General features: G+C 45.9%; 1 protein-coding gene and 1 pseudogene across 1 annotated transcript in view; both read right to left on the bottom strand.

Moving 5' to 3' along the window:
* Positions 1-21,445, bottom strand: part of RANBP2 (RAN binding protein 2) — a 1,122,820-nt gene that overhangs the window by 171,631 nt on the left and 929,744 nt on the right. The gene's annotated exons all lie outside the window — the stretch shown is intronic.
* BMS1P19 (BMS1 pseudogene 19) lies at positions 2,292-3,539 on the bottom strand (annotated as a pseudogene).

The following is a 21,445-nucleotide window of genomic DNA, read 5'->3' as shown; positions in this document are numbered from 1 at the left end:
ATGCTATGCACCCCACTGGCTTCGAGCAGCAGCAGCAGAACGAGGTCAGCCTCTAGAGTTTGGAGTCTGGGGAGAGGAGAACAGCCCCTGCCTTGGAGGCCACTGCTGTCACTGCTGCCTCTGCCACCCGCCACTGGCAGTGCAGTCCCTGATAGTGCCCTTAATCCTCATAGCCCCCAATAGTGCCCCCAGCCCAACATCTGCCTCGGGCAGTTGTGCCCAAGTTATCGCACCCAATCCACTCCCCGATGAGCTGCTGTGGGTACTGCAACCCCAGATAGTATCCCCAACCAGCCCCCCGCCAGGGGCAGTCTGGCCCCCAATAGCACCCCCCAACCAACCCCCACCCCCACCCCCACTCTGCCACAGGCAGTATAGCCCCCAGTAGCATCCCTAACCTGTCCCCCACCATGGGGCATAGGCCTAGAGGTTTTTGTCTCACCCAATCAGAACATGTAGTCCAGGAACCTCATTTGCATATTTTCAGAATGTGAAGGATGCTAAGGGGGCTTCCCACCATTCCAGGCTCTTCTGCAGCTGTAGCCCAGCTACTCTGTGCCTGGCTTAGAGGAGGAAGAGGAGGAACCGTCTGCCGCACCCTGGAGGCTGTAGCCTGTGGCATCGTGGCTCGCCTCACTGCAGTTGCTGGCTGTGACGGAGACTGCAGCATGGCCAGGGTGGTAGAAAGGTGGTGGGGTAGGTGCACTATCAGAGGCTGCACTGCCCGTGGTGGGGGGTCGCTTGGGGGCACCTGATGCCTGCAGCATAGAGTGGGTTGGGGGTGCTATCCAGGGCACGGGGGGTGGGGCGACTGGTTAGGGGTGCTACCTGTGGATGTGCTGCCCATGGCGGGGAGCAGGTTGGGTGCACTATCAAGGTTCTCACCTCCTGTGGCCCTGAGGGAGGGGTCCAGGCCTAGGCTGCTGGCCAGGGAGCCGGTAAAAGAGCCAGAGGCGGTGAGGGTTGTCAGAACCTTGGAGGTTATCTTGAGGCCTTCTCTGGTTTAGATGTATTTTCTCATTCATGAATGTAGGAACATTGCCTGAGAGGTGTTCATAGTGGCCGTTCTGAATTCTAGTTCTAGCAGGGGCTAAGAGAGTTCCAGTAGTTCCATGTGTCTTCTCTCAAAAAATATTTATTCAGATCTTCTGTTCATTTTTAAATCAGATTCTTTTTGGTTTTCTGGAGGTTTTTTGGTATTGAGTTGTTTGAGCTTATTATATATTCTGGTTATGAATCCCTTCAGGGGTGGGGAGTTTGAAAATATTGTTTCTCCTGTGTGTCGTCTCCTTTCTTTGTTGTTTCTTTTGCTGTGCTGAAAGCTTTTTAGGATGACAGAATTTCATTTGTTTGTTTTTGCTTTGGTCGCCTGTGATTTTGAAGTCTTAAACCAAAAACTTTTGCCTAGACCAGTGTCTTGGAGTGTTTCCACAATGTTTTTATTCTAGTAGTTTCATGGTTTCTGGTCTTCAGCATAAGTGTTTAATCCATTTGATTTTATTTTCATGTATGAGGAGAGATAGGAGTCTAGTCTCCTTCTTGTGCATGACGTTTCCCCATTGTATGTATTTTCTTGGTGTCTTTGTCAAAGATGAGTTAGCTGTAAATCTGTGCATGTATATCTGGGTCCTCTATTCCCTTTCATTGATCTATTTGTCTGTTTTCAGGACATGGTCATGCAGATTTGGTTACTGCAGCTTCCTAGTACATTTTGAAGTCAAGTAGTATGATAACTCCAGCTTTATCCTTCCCATTCATGAATGCAAGAACATTGGCTAAGAAGTGTTTATAATGGCCCTTTCTGATTTATAGTCCTAGCAGTGGGCTAGGAGGGTTCCAATTGTTCCATGTGCCTGCTCTCATTTTGTATCTCCCAGTGTCAAATATCTATTTGGTTTCATTTGCTTTGACATTTATTTTCAATATTGTTTGTAATGTTGATAAGCAAAACTGGCCTATAGTCATCAAATTATCTTTAAATTGGATCATTTCCTTCATTTTGCTTTCTGTATGTACATGGTTGCTTTCTTCTCTTTTCTTAGATTGCATTAGAATGTGACACATCCATTCCATCTTCATTTCTCATATGTGCACACTGAAGGCACAGCCTAGAGTCCCACTTTCTCTGGTAGTCCCTCAGCAGCATCGCACAAGTGTTGCCTGTGGGATTTTCATTGTTGTTTCTTTATATAGGTATCATGCCTTCTGTGATGTATTGACTTGAGAATACTTTGTAGTTTTCAGCTTCCCAAGTATATATGCTTTGAGGTGATGATTTTATTGTATTTTTCTAGGATAAACAATTATCCACAATCCACTAACATTCACCCCTAATGAAACCCACTAAGCCAAAACTAACAGGAAAATGTTTTAATTATATTTTTATAGTACAAAATAATTAAACTGAGGCAGGCAGAAAAAAGTAAGAGAATCCACATAACCATAGTTTACATCACTTTAAATCTTGACAGCTCCAGATGCTGAAAATGAACCCGGGTCCTGCAATTGCAGGCTTCATTTCTCCTCTCAAAGGCACAGTCTGTATGATGTGTTCAACAGGAACATCTCTTGGGCTCTCGCCCCCTGACTTGTTATTCACAAGCACCGTGGTGTTTGAAATCATCCATTTCTGCAGATCTATGGCCAGCCTTCCCATTCCAAAGGCTCACTGCAATTGCTCCTCAGCCCTCTTCAGACTGGATTTCTGGCTTCTTCTTTCCCTCTGACCCTGAATTCAGAAGAGCTTCTTCTGAGGTCCTCTTGCTGCTTCAGCTTCTCCTTCTGCTTGAGGAGTGCTTTAAAATGCTCTTTATTCTGCAGGTGCTGCTGCTTCTTGGCCTTCTGCACCCTCTGACTGCACACTGTACTCAGAGCATCCAGCAGTGCAAGGATCTGACAGGGACAAAACCTGGCGAGCATCAGAATACTCTCACAGACACCGCACACTCCCATCCAGGCATGTCAGCTGATGGAATCCAAGATAGAGGCAATCCAGGATCCAAATGAATGTTAACGCCTTGAAAATGCATCCCGAGCTAGGAAATCATTGTTGGCATGGAGATACAGGTGTGAGCACATTTACCTTTACCGCAAAACCACCTCTGTTCATCATTCTATGGGCTCTGTGTGCCACTAACCAGGAGGAAGGGCTCCCCAGCCATGCCTATGACTCCACATTAAAATGCACAGGGCAGAACACGGCCAAGCAAAGGACTGGAAATAGACTCCAGCCCTGCCTCTAACCTATAGTTCTAGTGCCGTGAATAACTCTGGTCTCATCCCCTCCTGATCAAAACTGAGTTACAGTAGAAATGCAAAGTGTGCTGCCAAGAGTGTTATTTTCCTCTCTAAATGGCAGTCAATTGGCCACAGGACCTTCCTTTCATGAGGCTTGCTTATGATGGTTGGTCTCTGCCTGTCCTTCAGCACCTTGCCTGCGTTTGCTTGGGTCTTGGGCTTGTTCTTAAATGGCAAGGCTTTCTGCAAGGCTTTTGGAATGTGCAGTGAATTAAAATGTTTCTTATGCCTCAGGATTGGCTGAAAAGTAAAATAAAACAAAAACTGGGATATATTTAGATTATGATCTATGTGTATTTGAAACCCACAAAACCTTCTCACTGGATTGACTTTTCCATAAGATCAGTAACACTAGAGTCAGCTGACTCTCAGAAATCAGGACTCAGTCATCCATCAAATATGGACTGCCTCAGTGGACACCCACAATTCTAGGCAGAGGAACAAATACAAATAGCTTATACTTGCAACTCTTCCAGAAAACCAACCGTGCCCATTTCTATGGTATAAAACTATGAGGTCTCAACACAGCAGATGCATAGATCCAGTTTCCTCTCATGTTAAATTCAGACCTTGTCTTTGGGCCACTGAGGTGATTATTTTTTTCAGCCTAATGAGTATAATAATCTAGCTTTTCATCTTGACTGTCAACCTCTCTGGATTTAAGGACATAGTTTTTCCTCCAATTAGCAGCCAACATGTCTTCATCTCTGGTTCTAATTAAGAGCTTTAACTTTATTCTGTTTCTGATAGGAGCCTGGCTTTAAAAAGTGAGATTTGAACAACAGACAAGGGCAAACACTGTACATTGAATTTTCAGGTTAATTTAAGTTTTATGTTTCATGAATTAAGATAATCAAAATTCTTAACTGCCTCAGAAACGTTGTTAGTAAGTTGAAAGTTGTGCTCTAGTCTTTTTACCAACGTCAACTATACAGATAATATTTCTCCTATGCCCTTAAATTTATCATTAAGGACATAATTCACAATAATATTCCATATTATCTGTTTAGGAACACATATTGCTTCAGAATTAAAGAATTCAGAGAAATCTCCTTCTCACAAAAAAAGTGGCACCACACGCTGGACAATGGGCACCACATCCTAAGTATGTTTTAATACAAATTCATGTAAGGTGCTCCAAAATTTCATTAACTATTTTATAGAAAAAGCAATGCCTGTGAGACTTCTGTTTCTAGCAGAAATAGATGTATTTATTTTGCAGTAATTTTTTTTTTTTTTTTAGTTTTTTGTTTTGTTTTGTTTTGTGACAGAATCTGTCTCTTTTGCCAGGCTGGAGTGCAATGGCATGATCTTGGCTCACTGCAACCTCCGCTTCCCAGGTTCAAGCAATTCTCCTGCCTCAGCCTCCTGAGTAGCTGGGATTACAGGCACCCACCACCACACCCAGCTAATTTTGTATTTTTAGTAGAGACAGGGTTTCTCCATGTTGGCCAGGCTGGTCTTGAACTCCTGACTTCAGGTGATCTGCCTTCCTCGGCCTTCCAAAGTGCTGGGATAGCAGGCATGAGCCACTGCACCCGGCCTTTCTTAGGTTCTTACTATTTATTTATGACAAATATTTGACATCCATGATTCTCTCCAGTCAAAAGTTCTTTAATACAATCTGTTGGCATTGGCCAATTGGAAAATGGAGTCATGTGACTCACCCATCCTGCGAATGGCCCCGCAGGTAGCATACATTTTAAACTGGCTGTTAAACCTGCCTGCGATCAGGCCAGTTGCGGTGGCTCATGCCTGCTATCCCAGCACTTTGGAAAGCTGAGGCGGGCAGATCACCTGAGGTCAGGAGTTCGAGACAAGCCTGACCAACATGGAGAAACCCTGTCTCTACTAAAAATACAAAATTAGCTGGGCGTCATGGCATGTGCCTGTAATCCCAGCTACTTGGGAGGTTGAGGCAGGAGAATCACTTGAACCCAGAGGTGGAGGTTGTGGTGAGCCAAGATCCCACCATTCCCCTCCAGCCTGGGCAACGAGAGCGAAACTGTTTCAAAAAAAAAAAAAAAAAACCTGCTTGCGACATTATCAACCTTGGTCCCATTCTTCTGGATGGATTCGTGGTCCTTGGCATCAATGATGCAGTTGCTATCGGACCATTTCCACGGCACGTACAGGTCCACGAACTCACCAGCATCATTCTGCATCTCAAAGCCGCACCTGCTGCCACCACATCACGCACAAGCAAAGAAAGACATTTTCTGATAATTATTGCATTTGCAATTTCAATTTGTTCCCAAGCTGGTAGTATGTATGTATGCTGTACTTCCATAAAGGTTTTTTGATAATAAGGTTAAAATTAAAATTTAAAAGTAGAATTGTGATATCTCATTTTGGTATAATTATTTTTTTCTATGTGTAGGTATGCATTGAGTTTTTTTGTTGTTGTCATTTTGTTTTTGATTTTGGTTTTGGTTTTTTTTTTTAGACAGAATTTTGCTCTTGTTGCCCAGTCTGGAGTGGAATAGCGTGATCTTGGCTTACTAAAACCTCTACCTCCCAGGTTCAAGCAGTTCTCCTGCCTCAGCCTCCCAAGTAGCTGAGATTACAGTTGTCTGCCACCACACCCAGCTAATTTTTGTGTTTTTAGTAGAGGTAGGGTTTCACCATGTTAGCCAGGCTGGTCTTGAACTCCTGACCTAAGGTGGTCCACCTGCCTTGGCCTTCCAAAGTGCTGGGATTACAGGTGTGAGCCACCGTGCCCGGCCCACATTGAGATATTTTTATTTTTATTTATTTATTTACTTATTTTAATAATAATTAAAATTCTTTCACCCAGGGTGGAGTGCAATGGTGTGGTCTGTGTTCCCTGCAACCTCCTCCTCCCACATTCAAGTGATTCTCCCACCTCAGCCTCCTGAATAGCTGGGATTACAGGTGCCGGCCACAATGCCAGACTAATTTTTTTATTTTTAGTAGAGATGGGGTTTCACTATGTTGGCCAGGCTGGTCTCGCACTCCTGACCTCATGATCCGCCCGCCTCGGCCTCCCAAAATGCTGGGATTACAGGTGTGAGTCACTGTGCCTGGCCAAGAGATTTTTATAAGAATCTTTGCTAAATATTCATAAAGGTTATTTCTGGCTGGTAACATTTAAGGTGAGTTTAAATTCATATTGTTGTTTGAATTTCTATAACGTATGCATCTTTACGGAAATCGAGTGATGGCATTTTGCTGCAAAGTAAAAAGACCTTTTTCAATGGGAAGGATGGGTGAAAACCAAGAGGTAGTAGAAGAGGAGTAAATGTAATTAGGGCTGCTGAGCAACAGAATAGAGCAGTCTGCTTTACATAGGAGTGATCCACTGGCTTTGGAAGTATCCCAGAAGAAGAGAATGAAGGGCTGTCTCTGCAGAGATTTCACCCTGTGCCTCCAGCCCTGAGTCCATGTGTCTGAAGCCATGACTGTGCTGTAGTTGGCTACTGTCCAGCGACATTTGGGAGGCACTGGTCTCATTAGAGCTTTTCACTCAAAGCCAACTGGAGGAGGGGTTATTTCGGGAAATGACTCCTAGACACGTCTGTTCTCTTTGCTGGCGTGTGGATTCTTGTTAGCCTCAAACACAGAGGCTGTTCCCTTTAATTTAGGTGTTCTATCAACCTTCCCACCTTTTGCCTCAAGTGTTCCTGGCCTTAATTTAGACTAAATTCACTTCTGTTTATATGGTTCTTCTGCAATTTCTGCAGACATTCCAGCTATAATTCCATTTTATCTTCCTAATATAGTTGTGAGTTTCAGCATTGCCATGAGCTCTGTATATGATCAGTAAGGGAATTTAAAATGATGATCTCCTTTTCAGTTATTTAGCAAACTGTGAGACACTTGCTCTATGCAAGAGCACAACTCAACATTGGGTATACACTAGAAAGAAGCCAACAGGAGTAGGAATTTTTATCTGTTTTATTGATCTACTTCCAGCACCCAGGACAAGAAGCAGGGCACAGTAGGTACTCCACAGTGGATTGCTGAAATGAATGCACAAATGAATGAAACACCTTCCTTGCCTTCAAATATCCCCAGCTAATGGAGGAGATAGACATGCTCTTAAATAGAGATATACAAGGTACAGAGTATGTGCAAAGTGCTGTGAGAGCCCACAAGAGGGAGGAAAAAGGTCTTTGAGGATGAAGGAGGTTTTAAGCTGAGCTCTAATGAATGAATATGAATAGGATTTTGATAGAATGAGAAATCAATGGGAGCATTTCAGGTAGAGGGAGTAGCACAAAGTACCTTCAGGGAAAGCTAGTTGTCCAAGTGTGGGAGAGGGAAGGACACTAGGTGGAGTCAAGGCCAAGGAGAGATTGTGAAGGTTAAATTGAATGATGTTCCAAGCAACTCAGGTGTGGTCCATAGATGGCAGGTGGAAGCAATGGAAGTCTTTTGATCAGCTGAGTGTTAATATCTACTTTGGAAGTGGAGCACTGTGGCAGTACAGATGCTCTGCTTGAGAAGAACCACATTGGAGGCCAGGGGATCATTAGGAAGCCATGGCAATCGCACAAGGGAGAAGGCGGTGGGAATAGAAAAGAGGACAACTTTGAAAACTGCTTTAGTTCACATCCTCTGAGAAGCAGATACCAATGAGGAGTTAGGTTTATTTGCAAGAGATTCACTGAGGGAAACACCTATGAAATATAGAGGGTGAGGCCGGGCATGGTGGCTAATGCCTATAATCCCAGCACTTTGGGCAGCTGAGGTAGGCAGATCACCTGAGGTCAGGAGTTCAAGACCAGCATAGCCAACATGATGAAACCCTAAAAATACAAGAATTAGCCAGGCATGGTGGCTAAAAACACAAAAATATAAAATTTAGCCAGGCATGGTGGCTAAAAATACAAAATACAAAATCTACTACTAAATATACAAAATTATAAAATACAAAAATTCCTAAAAATACAAAAATTAGCCAGGCATGGTGGCGGGTGCCTGTAGTCCCAGCTACTTGGGAGGCTGAGGCAGGAGAATCCTTTGAACCTGGGAGGCAGAGGTTGTAGTGAGCCAAGATCGCGCCACTGCACTCCAGCCTGGGTGACAAGAGTGAAACTCTGTTTTTTAAAAAAAGAAAGAAAGAAATATACAGGGTGAACCAGAGAAGGTGGGAAGATCTTTCAGACTGCAATGCAGGTCTGACCTTGGTGAAGGAGAGAAAAGGAAGGAGGACAAAGGAAAGTCTCAGACTCAATACAGACCTAAGAAAGTTCTGCCAGGCGATGGGGAGTCCTTGAGCCAAAGTCTCCCTCGGAAAGACTCCTGCATGTGGCAGAAATGGGTGTTTGTGCTCAGTCATGGTCTGGAAAGGGTGGTCTGCAAGCAGATACAGAGACGGACCCTGAAGGGCAGTAGCTGGGGCCTTCAACCAATTATGATCCCTGCAGCAGGAGGCATGAAATGTGCATCTTTATGGCCACCACCAAAAACTTACTGGAAGATGGATCTAGGGAAGAGGGAGAAGTCAAGCTTACTCAAAGGTTTGTAGCTGGGCATCTGGGTGGGTGATAATACTATTACCAGAGGAAGAAATAGAGTAGGAGGAGCAGGCTTTACTGGGGACATTAATGAGTTAGACTTTGAACAGGTTTACCTGTAGGGCATCCAAGGGATATATCCTGAAGACAGCTGAAAGTCAAGGATAAATGCAGCAGACTTCCAGCTACTCACTGTGCCCCATGTCTTGCACTTTCTAGGCTCACCCTTATCTACCTTTTCCAGTATTCCTTGCAGGTAGGTATGACCATATGACTGATCTCCACAGTGGAATATAAGCAAAAGTTTGTGACACTCCCATTCCTGGCCCATAGAACCTTCTACTTGGCCAGGCACGGTGACTCATGCCTATAATCCCAGCACTTTGGGAGGCCAAGGCAAGCAGATCACGAGGTCAGGAGTTCGAGAGCAGCCTGGCCAACATGGTGAAACCCTGTCTCTACTAAAGATCCAAAAAATTAGCCAGGCATGGTGGCAAGCGCCTGTAATCCCAGCTACTCGGGAGGCTGAGGCAGGAGAATCGCTTGAACCCAGGAGGTGGAGGTTGCAGTGAGCTGAGATCGTGCCATTGCACTCCAGCCTGAGCAACAGGGTGAAACTCCGTCTCAGAAAAAAAAAAAAAAAAGCCCTTCTACTAATGCTCCCTCATGCCCCTTCACCTTCCGTTAGTCTGCATTGACAGGGCAAACAGGAAGCTTCATGTTGAAGGTGGCAGAGCTTCCATAAACCTGGGTCCCTAAGTGACTGCATGGAAGAGAGTCCCTCTGCCCATAGCCTTGGGCTTTTTAGCTGAGCAGGAAATACATTGCCTTTGTGTTCAGGCCATTATCTATTTTATCATATATCTGTTTTAGCAGATAAGCCAACCCTAACTAACCTAAGGATGCCTAATTAGTACATTGAGGTCTGAAACAGAGGTCAAGCTAGAGCTGTAGCTATAGGAGTAGAGATAATTCAGGAGAAAGCACAAAATGAGAGAAGAGTGCTTAAGACAGACACTCAGCTAGCACCTTCTCTACACCCAAGGGCCAGATGGATCACCAGGAGCTGGGGAAGGAAACTGACACCTTAACCCAGACTGTTAGGAGGAGTTGAAGTTATTATCACTGTTTTTCAGAAAATTAAAATGAGGTTCCAAGAGATTTGGCTAAGGTCATGTGGTGGCAGAACCAGCACTCTGCGGCTCAGGCTCCTGGCAGCCGTCAGCCCCTCCCTGGGCCACACCAGGCCAACTGGCTACTCATCCAGCAGTCCCCCATCTGCCTCCTGGCATGGGGACTACTTGATGCCTCCCTGTAGGCTCAGCTTTTCCTCCCTTTGTTTTTCTGGTGTTACTGGTGGAGGGTCTTGACTATGAGTCATCCAGGTTCTTGGTGTTTTGAGCAAATTGGACAAAACACACAATGCAATGAAAGAATGAAGCAATAAAAGCAGAGATTTATTGAAAGGAAAGTACACTCCACAGAGTGGGATCAGGATGCAGCAAGTGGCTCAAGAGAACTGGTTACAGAGTTTTCTGGGGTGTAAACACCCTCTAGACATGTCCCATTGGTTACTTGGTTACACCCTATGTAAATGAAGACTTGGCCTACAATCAGCCTGATTGGTTGCAGGAGGTGACCAATCAGAGGCTGAAGTGAAGTACAAAGTTATACATGAAGACTTGGCCCAACTAGTCTGATTGGTTGCAGGAAGGGAAAAATCAGAGGAACGTTCCATTTTTCATTTGTGACACAGTACAAAGGGAGTAGCTTCTGATCCTTTCCCTAATTGGGTGTGGAGAAGTGGGGTTTTCCTTTTGATTCATTTCTAGGAAATAAGCACAAATTGGCCTTAGTTCTTTGCCTCCAGGCCTTATTCTCCTGCCTCACTGGGACTGACCCCAGCCTGAGACAACAGCTCAGCACCTGCTGCTCAGCATGGGCCCCTATCTTGTGCCCCAACTTTGCTATCTGGGCATTTGCTTGTGCCTGAGACTGAGCCATAGCTGGTGTCCAACCCTCATACCTGGCCGGGGCCTGGCTGCCTGGACCATCAGCCCTCCCAGACTGGAGATTTGCTTTGCTGCTGTTCCCCTTCTAGGAATCGTAGGCTGGGGGCCTAGAGACAGCACTCTCATTCAGGGCTCCCGGCCCCGCGGCCCCCTCAGAGTCCATACCTCATCTGGAGCCCCCCGCTGATTTGTTTTCTTTTCTAACCTAGGAATTGTTTTTGCTCTGGCCCTGGGCTTTCAGATTTGTCTGCCAGACAAAATCTTCCTTCTGCTCAGCAGCTGCTGCAGGGGCTGTCCAGCCCCCAGCCTAGCCCACCATCTGTCCCACCCACAGCTGCTCTCACCGTCCATGCGAACCACTGACCACCTGCACTGCAGCCCTGGATAAATCACAGTACATCCCCCACAGGAAGACAGGGCTCCAATTGAGATGGAAAGGAGCCTGGGGCCACGGGGGTGCTGTTATTTGAGTTTTGTTTTTTTTGTTTTTTTGTGTGTGTTTTTGGGGGGGATGAAATCTCTGTCACCCAGGCTGGAGTGCAATGGCGTGATCTTGGCTCACTGCGACCTCTGCCTCCCAGGCAAGCAATTCTCCTGCCTCAGCCTCCCGAGTAGCTGGGACTACAGGCACACACCACCACGCCCAGCTAGTTTTTGTACTTTTAGTAGAGATGGGGTTTCGCCGTGTTGGCCATGCTGGTCTCAAACTCCTGACCTCACGTAATTCAACCAACTTGACCTCCCAAAGTGCTGGGCTTACAGGCATAAGCCACTGCGCTTGGCTGTGAGTTTATTTGATTTATTTTTTGGCGGGGGGGCGGAGTCTCGCCCTGTCACCCAGGCTGGAGTGCAATGGCGTGATCTTGGCTTACTGCAGCCTCTGCCTCCTGAGTTCAAGCCATTCTCATGCCTCAGACTCCCAAGCAGCTGGGATTACAGGTACTCATCACCACACCCAGCTAGTTTTTGTATTTTTAGCAGAGACAGGGTTTCACCATGTTGGCCAGGCTAGTCTCGAACTCCTGACCTCGTGATCCACCCATCTTGGCCTCCCAAAGTGCTGGGATTACAGGTGTGAGCCACCGTGCCTGGCCAATTTTTTGTTTCTTTAGTAGAGACGGGGTTTCCCAATGTTGGCCAGGCTGTTCTGTTCTCAAACTCCTGACCTCGTGATCTGGCCCCCCTCAGTCTCCCAAAGTGCTGGGATTACAGGCATGAGCTACTGTGCCTGGCCAGAGTTTATTGAATTTTCTTAACTAATTTCCTTCTTGGAATATCACTGATGTCATTTGCCAATTTCTGAATGGTTTTAATAAGATCCTTTCCCACGAGTCAACCTTGTTCTGAAAGGATCTTATCTCTAGATATCGTGGTGTCTGTTTAAATAAAAAGAGAATATTGTGGTTCTGATTTATATCTTTTTCTTTTTTTTTTGAGATGGAGTCTTGCTCATCACCCAGGCTGGAGTGCCGTGGCATGATCTTGGCTCACTACAACCTCTGCCTCCCGAGTTCAAGCAATTCTCTGCCTCAGCCTCTCGAGTAGCTGGGATTACAGGTGCCTGCCACCATGCCTGGCTAATTTTTTGTATTTTTAGTAGAGACAGGGTTTCACCATCTTGGCCAGGCTGGTCTCGAATTCCTGACCTTGTGATCCACCCACCTTGGCCTCTCAAAGTGCTGGGATTACAGGCATGAGCCACCGCCCCGGCTGATTTATACCTATTAAGAATGAAATCATTAAATTGAGGAAAAAAGTGAGAATCAGGTTCTATACGTGAACTCTGATGCAGCCTAATTTCAAAGTTATGAACTTGGGTGAGACCTCCACATCAAATAACTATTATAATAACAAACTCAGGCCCGGCACGGTGGCTCACGCCTGTAATCCCAGCACTTTGGGATGCTGAGGCAGGCAGATCACTTGAAGTCAGAAGTTCGAGACCAGCCTGGCCAATAGCGTTAAACCCCTTCTCCACTAAAAATACAAAAATTAGCCAGGCCTGGTGGTGCGTGCCTGTAATACCAGCTACTGAGAAGGCTGAGGCACGAGAATCACTTGAGCCCAGGAGGAGGAGGTTGCAGTGAGCCAAGATTGTGCCATTGCACTCCAGCCTGGGCAACAGAGTGAGACTCCATCTCAAAAAAAAAAAAAAAAAAAAAAACTCAGCTAATTCATGCCTGTGGAGCTTTCCATCGGTTCAGTTTCCTCTGGGAATGTATTGCCTCCTCCCGCTTAAAAGATATTAATCTTATTCCTAGTTAAATGCAACTGAGGAATTTATAGCCAATTTAAACTTCACTCCAACTTAAAATAAATATTACACTTTTATAATTTTCTCTCTATGAGAATATAGAAAACATGGTTGGGAACATCCTAATTCTGCTTCATAAACAGCTGTCTGCCATGTTTTCGCTTTTGTTTGTTTTTTGAGACAGGGTCTCACTCCGTTGCCCAGGCTGGAGTTTGGTGGCACAATCACGGTTCACTGCAGCCTCAACCTCCTGGGCTCAGGTGATCCTCCCACCTCAGCCTCCTGGGTACCTGGGACTACAGGCACACACCACCACACCTGGCTAGTTTTTTGTATTTTTTTGTAGAAACGAGGTTTCTCCATGTTGCCTGGGATGGTCTCAAACTCCTGACCTCAAGCAGTCTGCCTGCCTTAGCCTCCCAAAGTGTGTCTGGCATGTTGAAATGCAAGGATGTTGGCCTGTCCCCCACAGAGCAGAGTCAATAACCGTTGGGCACTCAGGTGATACTAGGGTTGGGCCATTCATGAAATTAGGGAATCCAGAGGTTGTTTCTAATTGACTGAAATGACTTCATATTTCCAATCATATCATGGATTTTCTTGGCCCAATTGTTGAAATAATGGGCCAGAATATTGTCCCCATTCTATAGTTAATTTTTACCATCTGCATTTTTCCCTTCTCCATTGGGGGCTGTTGATTTCTTCTATGAACCGCCCTACTTTTTCTAAATTATTTTCATCATCTTAGAAGACTCAGTACACTGTGCTTCATCTACTCTCCATTTATCTCTTTTCCTTCTCAAGGTCTTATTCTGCATTCACTAATGTTTTAGTTGAAGAAAACTCAGAATACTCACATGACATTCATTAACGCCAAAGGGCAAATTAATTTTATAATTGCTATCATGTGAGATACATTTCAGACATAATCGTATATGATAAGCACCTGAGCAGTCTGCGCTTCCTTTAGAATGTTTAAGAAAAAGGCCAGGTGCGGTGGCTCATGCCTATAATCCCAGCACTTTGGGAGGCCGAGGAGGGTGGATCACCTGAGGTTGGAAGTTCGAGACCAGCCTGGCCAACATGGTGAAACCCTGTCTCTACTAAAACTACAAAAAAATTAGCTGGACATGGTGGCACATACCTGTGATCCCAGCTACTCTGGAGGCTGAAGCAGGAGAATTGCTTGAACCTGGGAGGCAGAGGCTGCAGTGAGCCAAGATAGTGCCACTTCACTCCAGCCTGGGTGACAAAGCAAGACCTTGTCTCAAACAAACAAACAAAAAAACCCCAGAATTTTAAGAAAAGGAGTTGCAAATTAAAAAGAAAGACAGAATGTGGTTCCAATGGATGGTATACACTTTACTCATTCAAGAAACATTTATCCAGCACCTCATCTCAGAGAGGCTCTCTGCCATGCCTGATTGGGATAAGGGGGATTGGCATGGCCCCTGCTGTGGCTCATGGTGCAGTAGCAAAGATACTGCAGATGTGTAAATTAGTGTTCTGTGGGCAGAATAGGATCATCCTGCTGAGGCAGGGAAGAGAGGGGACTCCCCTGGGGACTTAGGATTTGTGGAGATATCACTTGAACTAGACTTAGAAGAATGGTTAGCAGTTTACAAATCAAAACTGACAGGTCTAGAAGGGCATTCCAAATAGAATTATCTTCATTTTACAGTTGAGGAAACTGAGGCAAAGGGAGGTGAAGCTGCCCAGGGCCAGATTGATAATAAGTGGTAGACCAAGAATTTGAACCCTAAGATGTCTGACTCTGAAAACGAGTTGCTTATTTTGTTTCAGTACACCTGGGCTTTCCCACAAGCTTCCTCATTTAATACAATGATATAGGAGACGTGTTCTTTTTGTTCCCAGGCCAGAATCTTTCGGCTTTAAGGAAGAGAGACCACACAAACAGTTCAAGTGGAAGGGAGGGTTTTTTGTTGTTATTGTTTCTGCTTTTGTTTGTTTGTTTCTGCTTTAAAATAAAGATGCAGGGGTCTCTCAGGGACCCAAGTGAAGGAACAGGGCAGAACCAAATGCACACTGGGTGGGTGCTGACCCTCGATGGAGGCCTCACTGTCTCCGCAGTCTCCCCAGTCTCTGCCCCTCCAAGTTTGCTCCCCTCCCATCCTCTTCCTGTGCATGAGTCACCTCTGCTTCTTCATCAGCTCATCCATGGCTCCAAAACTTTCCCAAACCTAAGGAGCTTCCAGGCCTTGCCCATTTCAATTCTTGAGTGAGAGACTTGATTGGACCAGTTTTTCTATCTGGACAGAGCCCTTCAAGGCCAGTCACCTATCGACTGTGTTCTGACATCCTCCCAGTTCCAAAGAACTGTGGTTGAAAGCAGTGGGAACGGAGACACATAGTTCATGGCCACCTGGCAGGACATATCTGGTAAAACAGAGAAAAAAGATCACCAGCCGGGTGCAGTGGCTCATGCCTGTAATCCCAGCACTTTGGGAGGCTGAGGCGGGTGGATCAAGAGGTCAGGAATTCGATATCAGCCTGGCCAAGATGGTGAAACCCCGTCTCTACTAAAAATACAAAAATTAGCCGGGCATGGTGGTGGGCACCTGTAATGCCAGCTACTCGGGAGGCTGAGGCAGGAGAATCATTTGAAACCAGGAAGCAGAGGTTGCAATGAGCCGAGATCACGCCACTGCGCTCTAGCCTGGGTGACTGAGCAAGACTCCATCTCAAAAAAAAAAAAAAGAAAAGAAAAGAAATAAGATCACCTCCCTTTACAAATTAGAGCACTCTGAGAGGTCACGCCACATTCCAAGGATTACCCAGCTGGTAAGTCGTCAAGTGCAAACTGTGTGCCCCATTCCTATGCCAGATGTGTCTGTTCAGCCTCAGGTGTATTCCCTGCCCTGATTGGTTCCTAACTGGCATAAGTCATGATCCCAGAAGCAGTCCAAGGAATTCTGGGATTGCTTATGTATTTGAGCTTGAAAGCAGTGATGAGCTCTATCAATTCTATGATATCACAATGACTTAAATTGTCATCTTTGCTTTCAGTGAAGGGCTAGTGAAAAGCAAGGCTTTGGGACATAAGCAGCTGCTGCACTAGATGGGTGTGGTAGTAATGAGGCGTATGGCAGTAATGATGGATATGGTAGTAATGAAGAAGGGCTGGCTTCTTCATGTACTAGAGAGCTCATAATGAAAAGGGAAAAAAATGCTAAGCTCAGGGCCTTAAACTCTTAGCTTAACTGAAGGCATGACCAAAGAAATTGAGAATTTCCGTGGTGACCCTAACAACATTTTTTATTTCTATATCACAAGCAGAGGACTAGACCCCAAACCTAGTTTTGTAGACTTCCAAATTACAAGATGAGTTCAGCCTTCAGCCTTGTTAGGTCTCTTATTTAAGGTTAGGTAAGGGGAGTAGAACCTTGTTAGTGGGGGTAGTGGGACCTGGAGATTGAGATGGGGACATTTGGATGGATTTATATGAATCTGAGAACCTTGAACTCCAAATCCACCCAGGCTTCCTAACCAGCGGAAATAACCCCTCCCACACTGTCTGAGGACACCATTTGTTGCTCAGGGACCTCACCTGGAGTAATTGCCTTGCAAGGAAATTCCTGTTTTCCTAAAGACTTATTCATCACCTCTGCTTATTACTTCCAGACCCGTAGAGTCAGATCCATGCCTCCCAGGTCTGTTCCTGGAGAACACAGCTTACTGCCAAAGCAACTGCAAGACTTTGCTGTTGGACTGGACTACATTTACCAATAAGATTCTGGAGATGAGCGCTACCTGAAGAGCTAGAAAAGGCCCTAGCAGTTTGTTTGTTTGATTGATTGAAACCTAGGCCCAACAGTGGACTGCATTAAACAAAATAAGGAGGCCAGGACTTCCCTGGCATATTGTCAAGGAAGGAATTCAAAGATTCAAGAATATGAGAAAATTGAAAGGAAATTATTTTGTGTGACCCGCTTACCCACCACCTATGTCACACCCAGAAGGACTCAGAGACACCCTTTACAAAGGCTTTGAGAAATGCTTTGGTGAGGGGAGGGCCAGCAGCCTCGGCCAGCCCTGCAAGAATGACAGTGGGAGATTCCTATAAAATGGGCTTTCTGATCCAGTGGGAAGGATGAAAAGCTACAGCAGCGCCTAGCAGCCAGCAGCACTGCCAGCAGACAAGGGGCTGCAGTGCCTGTCATGCATGACAGGAGTGAATGACAGAGATCACAGTCACTTTTTTTTTTTTTTGAGACGAAATCTAGTTCTGTCACCCAGGCTGGAGTAGGGTGCCGCGAACTCGGCTCACTCCAAACTCTGCCTCCCAGGTTCAAGTGATTCTCCTGCCTCAGCCTCCCAAGCAGTTGGGATTACAGGTGCCCACCACCACGGCCAGCTAATTTTTGTACTTTTAGTAGAGACGGGGTTTCACTGTGTTGGCCAGGCTGGTCTCGAACTCTTGACCTCATGATCCACCCGCCTCAGCCTCCCGAAGTCCTCGGATTACAAGCATGAGCCACAACGCCCAGCCACAGTCACCTTTGAAATGGAACAAACTGGCACCTTCCTAAAGCATTACTTCATTTATAGAGGCAGAGAAATTCTAGGCTGATCAGCAGAAGCTGCCTTAGTAAACACAAAAGGCAATTATTTCTCTTTCAATTCCCAGGACTTTGCTAGCTCATAGGGGCACTGATCCCTTATTGAAGACGAGCCCAGGAGCCTTACCAGGTTGACTGTGCATCTGGGAAAGGGAAACACTAAGACACTGGGGACTTATTGAACACTAAATATATATCAATGCTAATCTCTAGAACGCGAAACATCTCTGTGTTCTACCAGTCAGAGCAAATCCGTAGCTTCTACAGGGAACTATAATTTATGCTTTTGAGAAACCTCTCTGGCTTCCTCCTGGCCTCTGGTAGAGACTGAAGTCTTGGCCATGGGACACTGGATGGGTAGGTAACTCAAGTTGCCTCCATGAACTGGGTGCTGTCTGACCCACCCAGCCACATGGCTGTGCACGTGCAGGAGGAATCCATAGTCGTGTGAAACGTGACTTCCTTCTTTTGTTGTGTAGGGGTCCCTTGGTCAGCGTGAAGTTTCTCAGGATACGGTGATGAGAGACAAAACCTTTTTTAACCTGTAATCCTAGCACTTTGGGAGGCCGAGGTGGGCGGATCACGAAGTCAGGAGATCAAGACCATCCTGGCTAACACAGTGAAACCCCGTCTCTACTAAAAAAAATACAAAAAATTAGCCGGGCGTGGTGGCGGGTGCCTGTAGTCCCAGCTTCTCAGGAGGCTGAGGCAGGAGAATGGCGTGAACCTGGGAGGCGGAGCTTGCAGTGAGCCGAGATGGCGCCACTGCGCTCCAGACTGAGTGACAGAGCGAGACTCCGTCTCAAAAAAAAAAAAACAAACAAAAATCCTTTTTTAAGTCCATGGATAGTGGCGCAGCAGAAGCACAGCAGGCAAGAGAAGCAAACCCACAGACAGCATAGTTGTCTAATGTAGTAAGGACAAATGCTGCCAATGATGGAAGGGTCTCATGTAAGCAACCCACTACCGTGCAGCTGCCACACACCACCTGCTCTCAGGAATGGTACTGTGCTGGGGAGGAAGCATTGGCCCCTGTCACTGCAGGTTGGGCTGTCAGCAGGGGTAATAGCTGGGTCAGCCCTGGTGAGAGTGGGGCTGCACTGCTGAGCACATGTGCAACCTTCATCTCATTGCTAGGGCCATTTTGTACACAGACCATGAAGCAAGCTGGGGCAGGGAGTAGCAGGAATCATCATCGCCATCATCTTGTTCATCTGACTTCTGAAAGCCTCTGCGGTGGATGCCGTTGGGAAACAGTCATGCAGGACACAAACATCATCATGCTCTCCCCATTCTGAAAGATCTGACTTCTTCCCAGGCCTCCTTGTCATAAATCTTCCAATTTTGTTCTAAGTCCCCAGCCAACCGCTCAAATCATTAGCCAAGGCGTATGAGTCAGCACAGATCCTCACCTCTGGTGACTGCTCCTTTTAGGGAAAGGGCTCAAAGTTTTGTCCATTGGGAATATTTTTCTTCACCACTGTTCTTCAGGGCCACCCTTGAGAGGTGCTTGGTGCAACAGCAGTCTATTTCTTGTTGGTGCCAACATATTATGTAGACCTAATTGTAAACTAGACCCCAGCTTTCATTCTCCTCTTGTATGGTCATAAAGAGCTTCCATTTGTTTGGGAGAGCAATGCAGCAGGAGTAGGTGTCATGGAACACTGGGCCACCTGCTCAATACTTGTACTTTCTGAACTTGCTTGAGCCCAGTCTTATGTATATTCAGTTATGGAACCATCTAGGAGCCAAGCCCTACAGGATGCCATGAGCCAGGGAGTAATATGTGGTATTGTTTCTTCCACAGAAGACATTCACAGGCCCAGGAATCAAGGGGTGGAAATGGTAGTGAACCCTCTCATTATTACCTTGTAACTCATTTTGAGATAGGTACAGGGGTTGCTGGGACTTTGCCTCTCCCTTTGTGGGGAGAGGATGTATGAAGGAGAAGTTGGTGTATGAAGGAGAAATTGGTCCTGGCAGGAGTTAAATACGGGTAGAACTACAAGAATGGAAACTGGGCAGCAAGGGCATGCTTGTGCCAGCCATTTACCTCCACTCTCTGCCCTGCACCACTGGGGACTGTCCCTCAAGACTGCATTTCCCAGACTCCCCCGCCAGCTTCCTGCTAGGTTGTCGTATTAGTCCGTTTTCATGCTGCTGATAAAGACATACCCAAGACCGGGTAATTTATAAAGAAAAAGAGGTTTATTGGACTCACAGGTCCACATGGCTGGGAGGCCTCACAATCATAGCAGAAGGCAAAAGGCACGTTTAGCATGGTGGCAGAAAAGAGAGAATGAGAGCCAAGAGAAAGAGGAAACCCCTTATAAAATCATCAGATTTCATGAGACTTCTTCACTACCATAAGAACAGCACGGAGGAAGCTCCGCCCATGATTCAATGATCTCCCACTGGGTCCCTCCCACAACACACGGGGATTATGGGAGCTACAATTCAAGATGAGATTTGGGTGGGGACACAGTCAAACCACATCAGTGGTCCTGTGGGAGGCACTGGTGACAGATTGGTAAGGAGGGAAAGTGGGACCCCTGCCCGGTCTCCCCACTCAGATAGCATCTCCAGCTGTCTCTCCTCAGTGCTTCAGCTCTGCCCGGGCAGGCCCTCCCCCATAGTCCTGGCTCACATAGGTGGTCCTGGCTTTTGGACACCTGGCTTCACCTCCACTTTTTGTCTTTCTGCCTTGGGAGACTAGCGGCTTCCTGCAATGACTAACCTCTGGGATGCCTTACCTTCCCGTTGTTTGCTCTGTCAGCTGCTGATAATTCCCCAGATTAAATTCCTATCTGTGTGGCATAGGCTCCATTCTCCAAACCCGATTCATGCTGTGTGTGCTGTAGCCTCACCAGAACGTATGATGATGAGCCTTATGGATTTCCATCATCTCAGCGACTTTTGTTTCCTACAAAATACAAAGGAACACAAATATCTGTGAGTCAATTGAGAAAAGAAAGTCACCCATATTACTGTCCCACGAGGAATATCCAAAATTGAGACTGTTCTGAGAAACTTTAGGATCATTGCAGCCTGGAATTATCATTTCGTTATGTCTAGTAAAACGTGCCAGTAAGGGTGGGGCCGTGGCCTCCAATGGGCTAACTTATTGTTGCAATGGCTTTCCAAGATTCATTTTTGCAGAAGTAGCCAATGTTTTTCTTTAAACACATCAGAGGGAATTTTTCTTAAAGAAAATTTGTGTTCTAGAAATCAGGTCTTAAGAAAATGAGAAACCAAAAACTTGAAACTTTCTCAAGAGATAATCAAGGAAGTAATCACATGCTTTACAGAAAATCTTCACTTTAGGAAGGTATAAAATTCAAAATACTGGCTGGGCATGGTGGCACATGCCTGTAATCCCAGTACTTTGGCAGGCCGAGGAAGGCGGATCACCTGAGGTCAGGAGTTTGAGACCAGTCTGGCTAACATGGTGAAACCCCATCTCTACTAAAAATACAAAAATTAGCCGGGTGTGGTGGTGAACGCCTGTAATCCCAGCTACTTGGGAGGCTGAGGCAGGAGAATCGCTTGAACCCGGGAGGCAGAGGTTGCAGTGACCCGAGATCACGCCACCGCACTCCAGCCTGGGCGACAGAGTGAGACTCTGTCTCAAAAAAAAAGAAAAAGAAAAAGAAATTCATAATACCTTTAAATATTAAATCCCTACAATAGATTTAAAGTACCATTTTCAGGAACACATACCTCATATTAGAAAGCTTCAACTTAAGCTTTATTCATTTAGTCTCCAGGACTTTAGTCATGGAGCCAATCAAACCACTATAGTTTTGCAATCAATTTTTC

Source organism: Homo sapiens, chromosome 2 (genome assembly GCF_000001405.40).
Source record: "Homo sapiens chromosome 2, GRCh38.p14 Primary Assembly".
NCBI lineage: Eukaryota > Metazoa > Chordata > Mammalia > Primates > Hominidae > Homo > Homo sapiens.
Note: the sequence above shows the minus strand (reverse complement) of the source record. Positions and strands in the feature narration are given on the sequence as shown.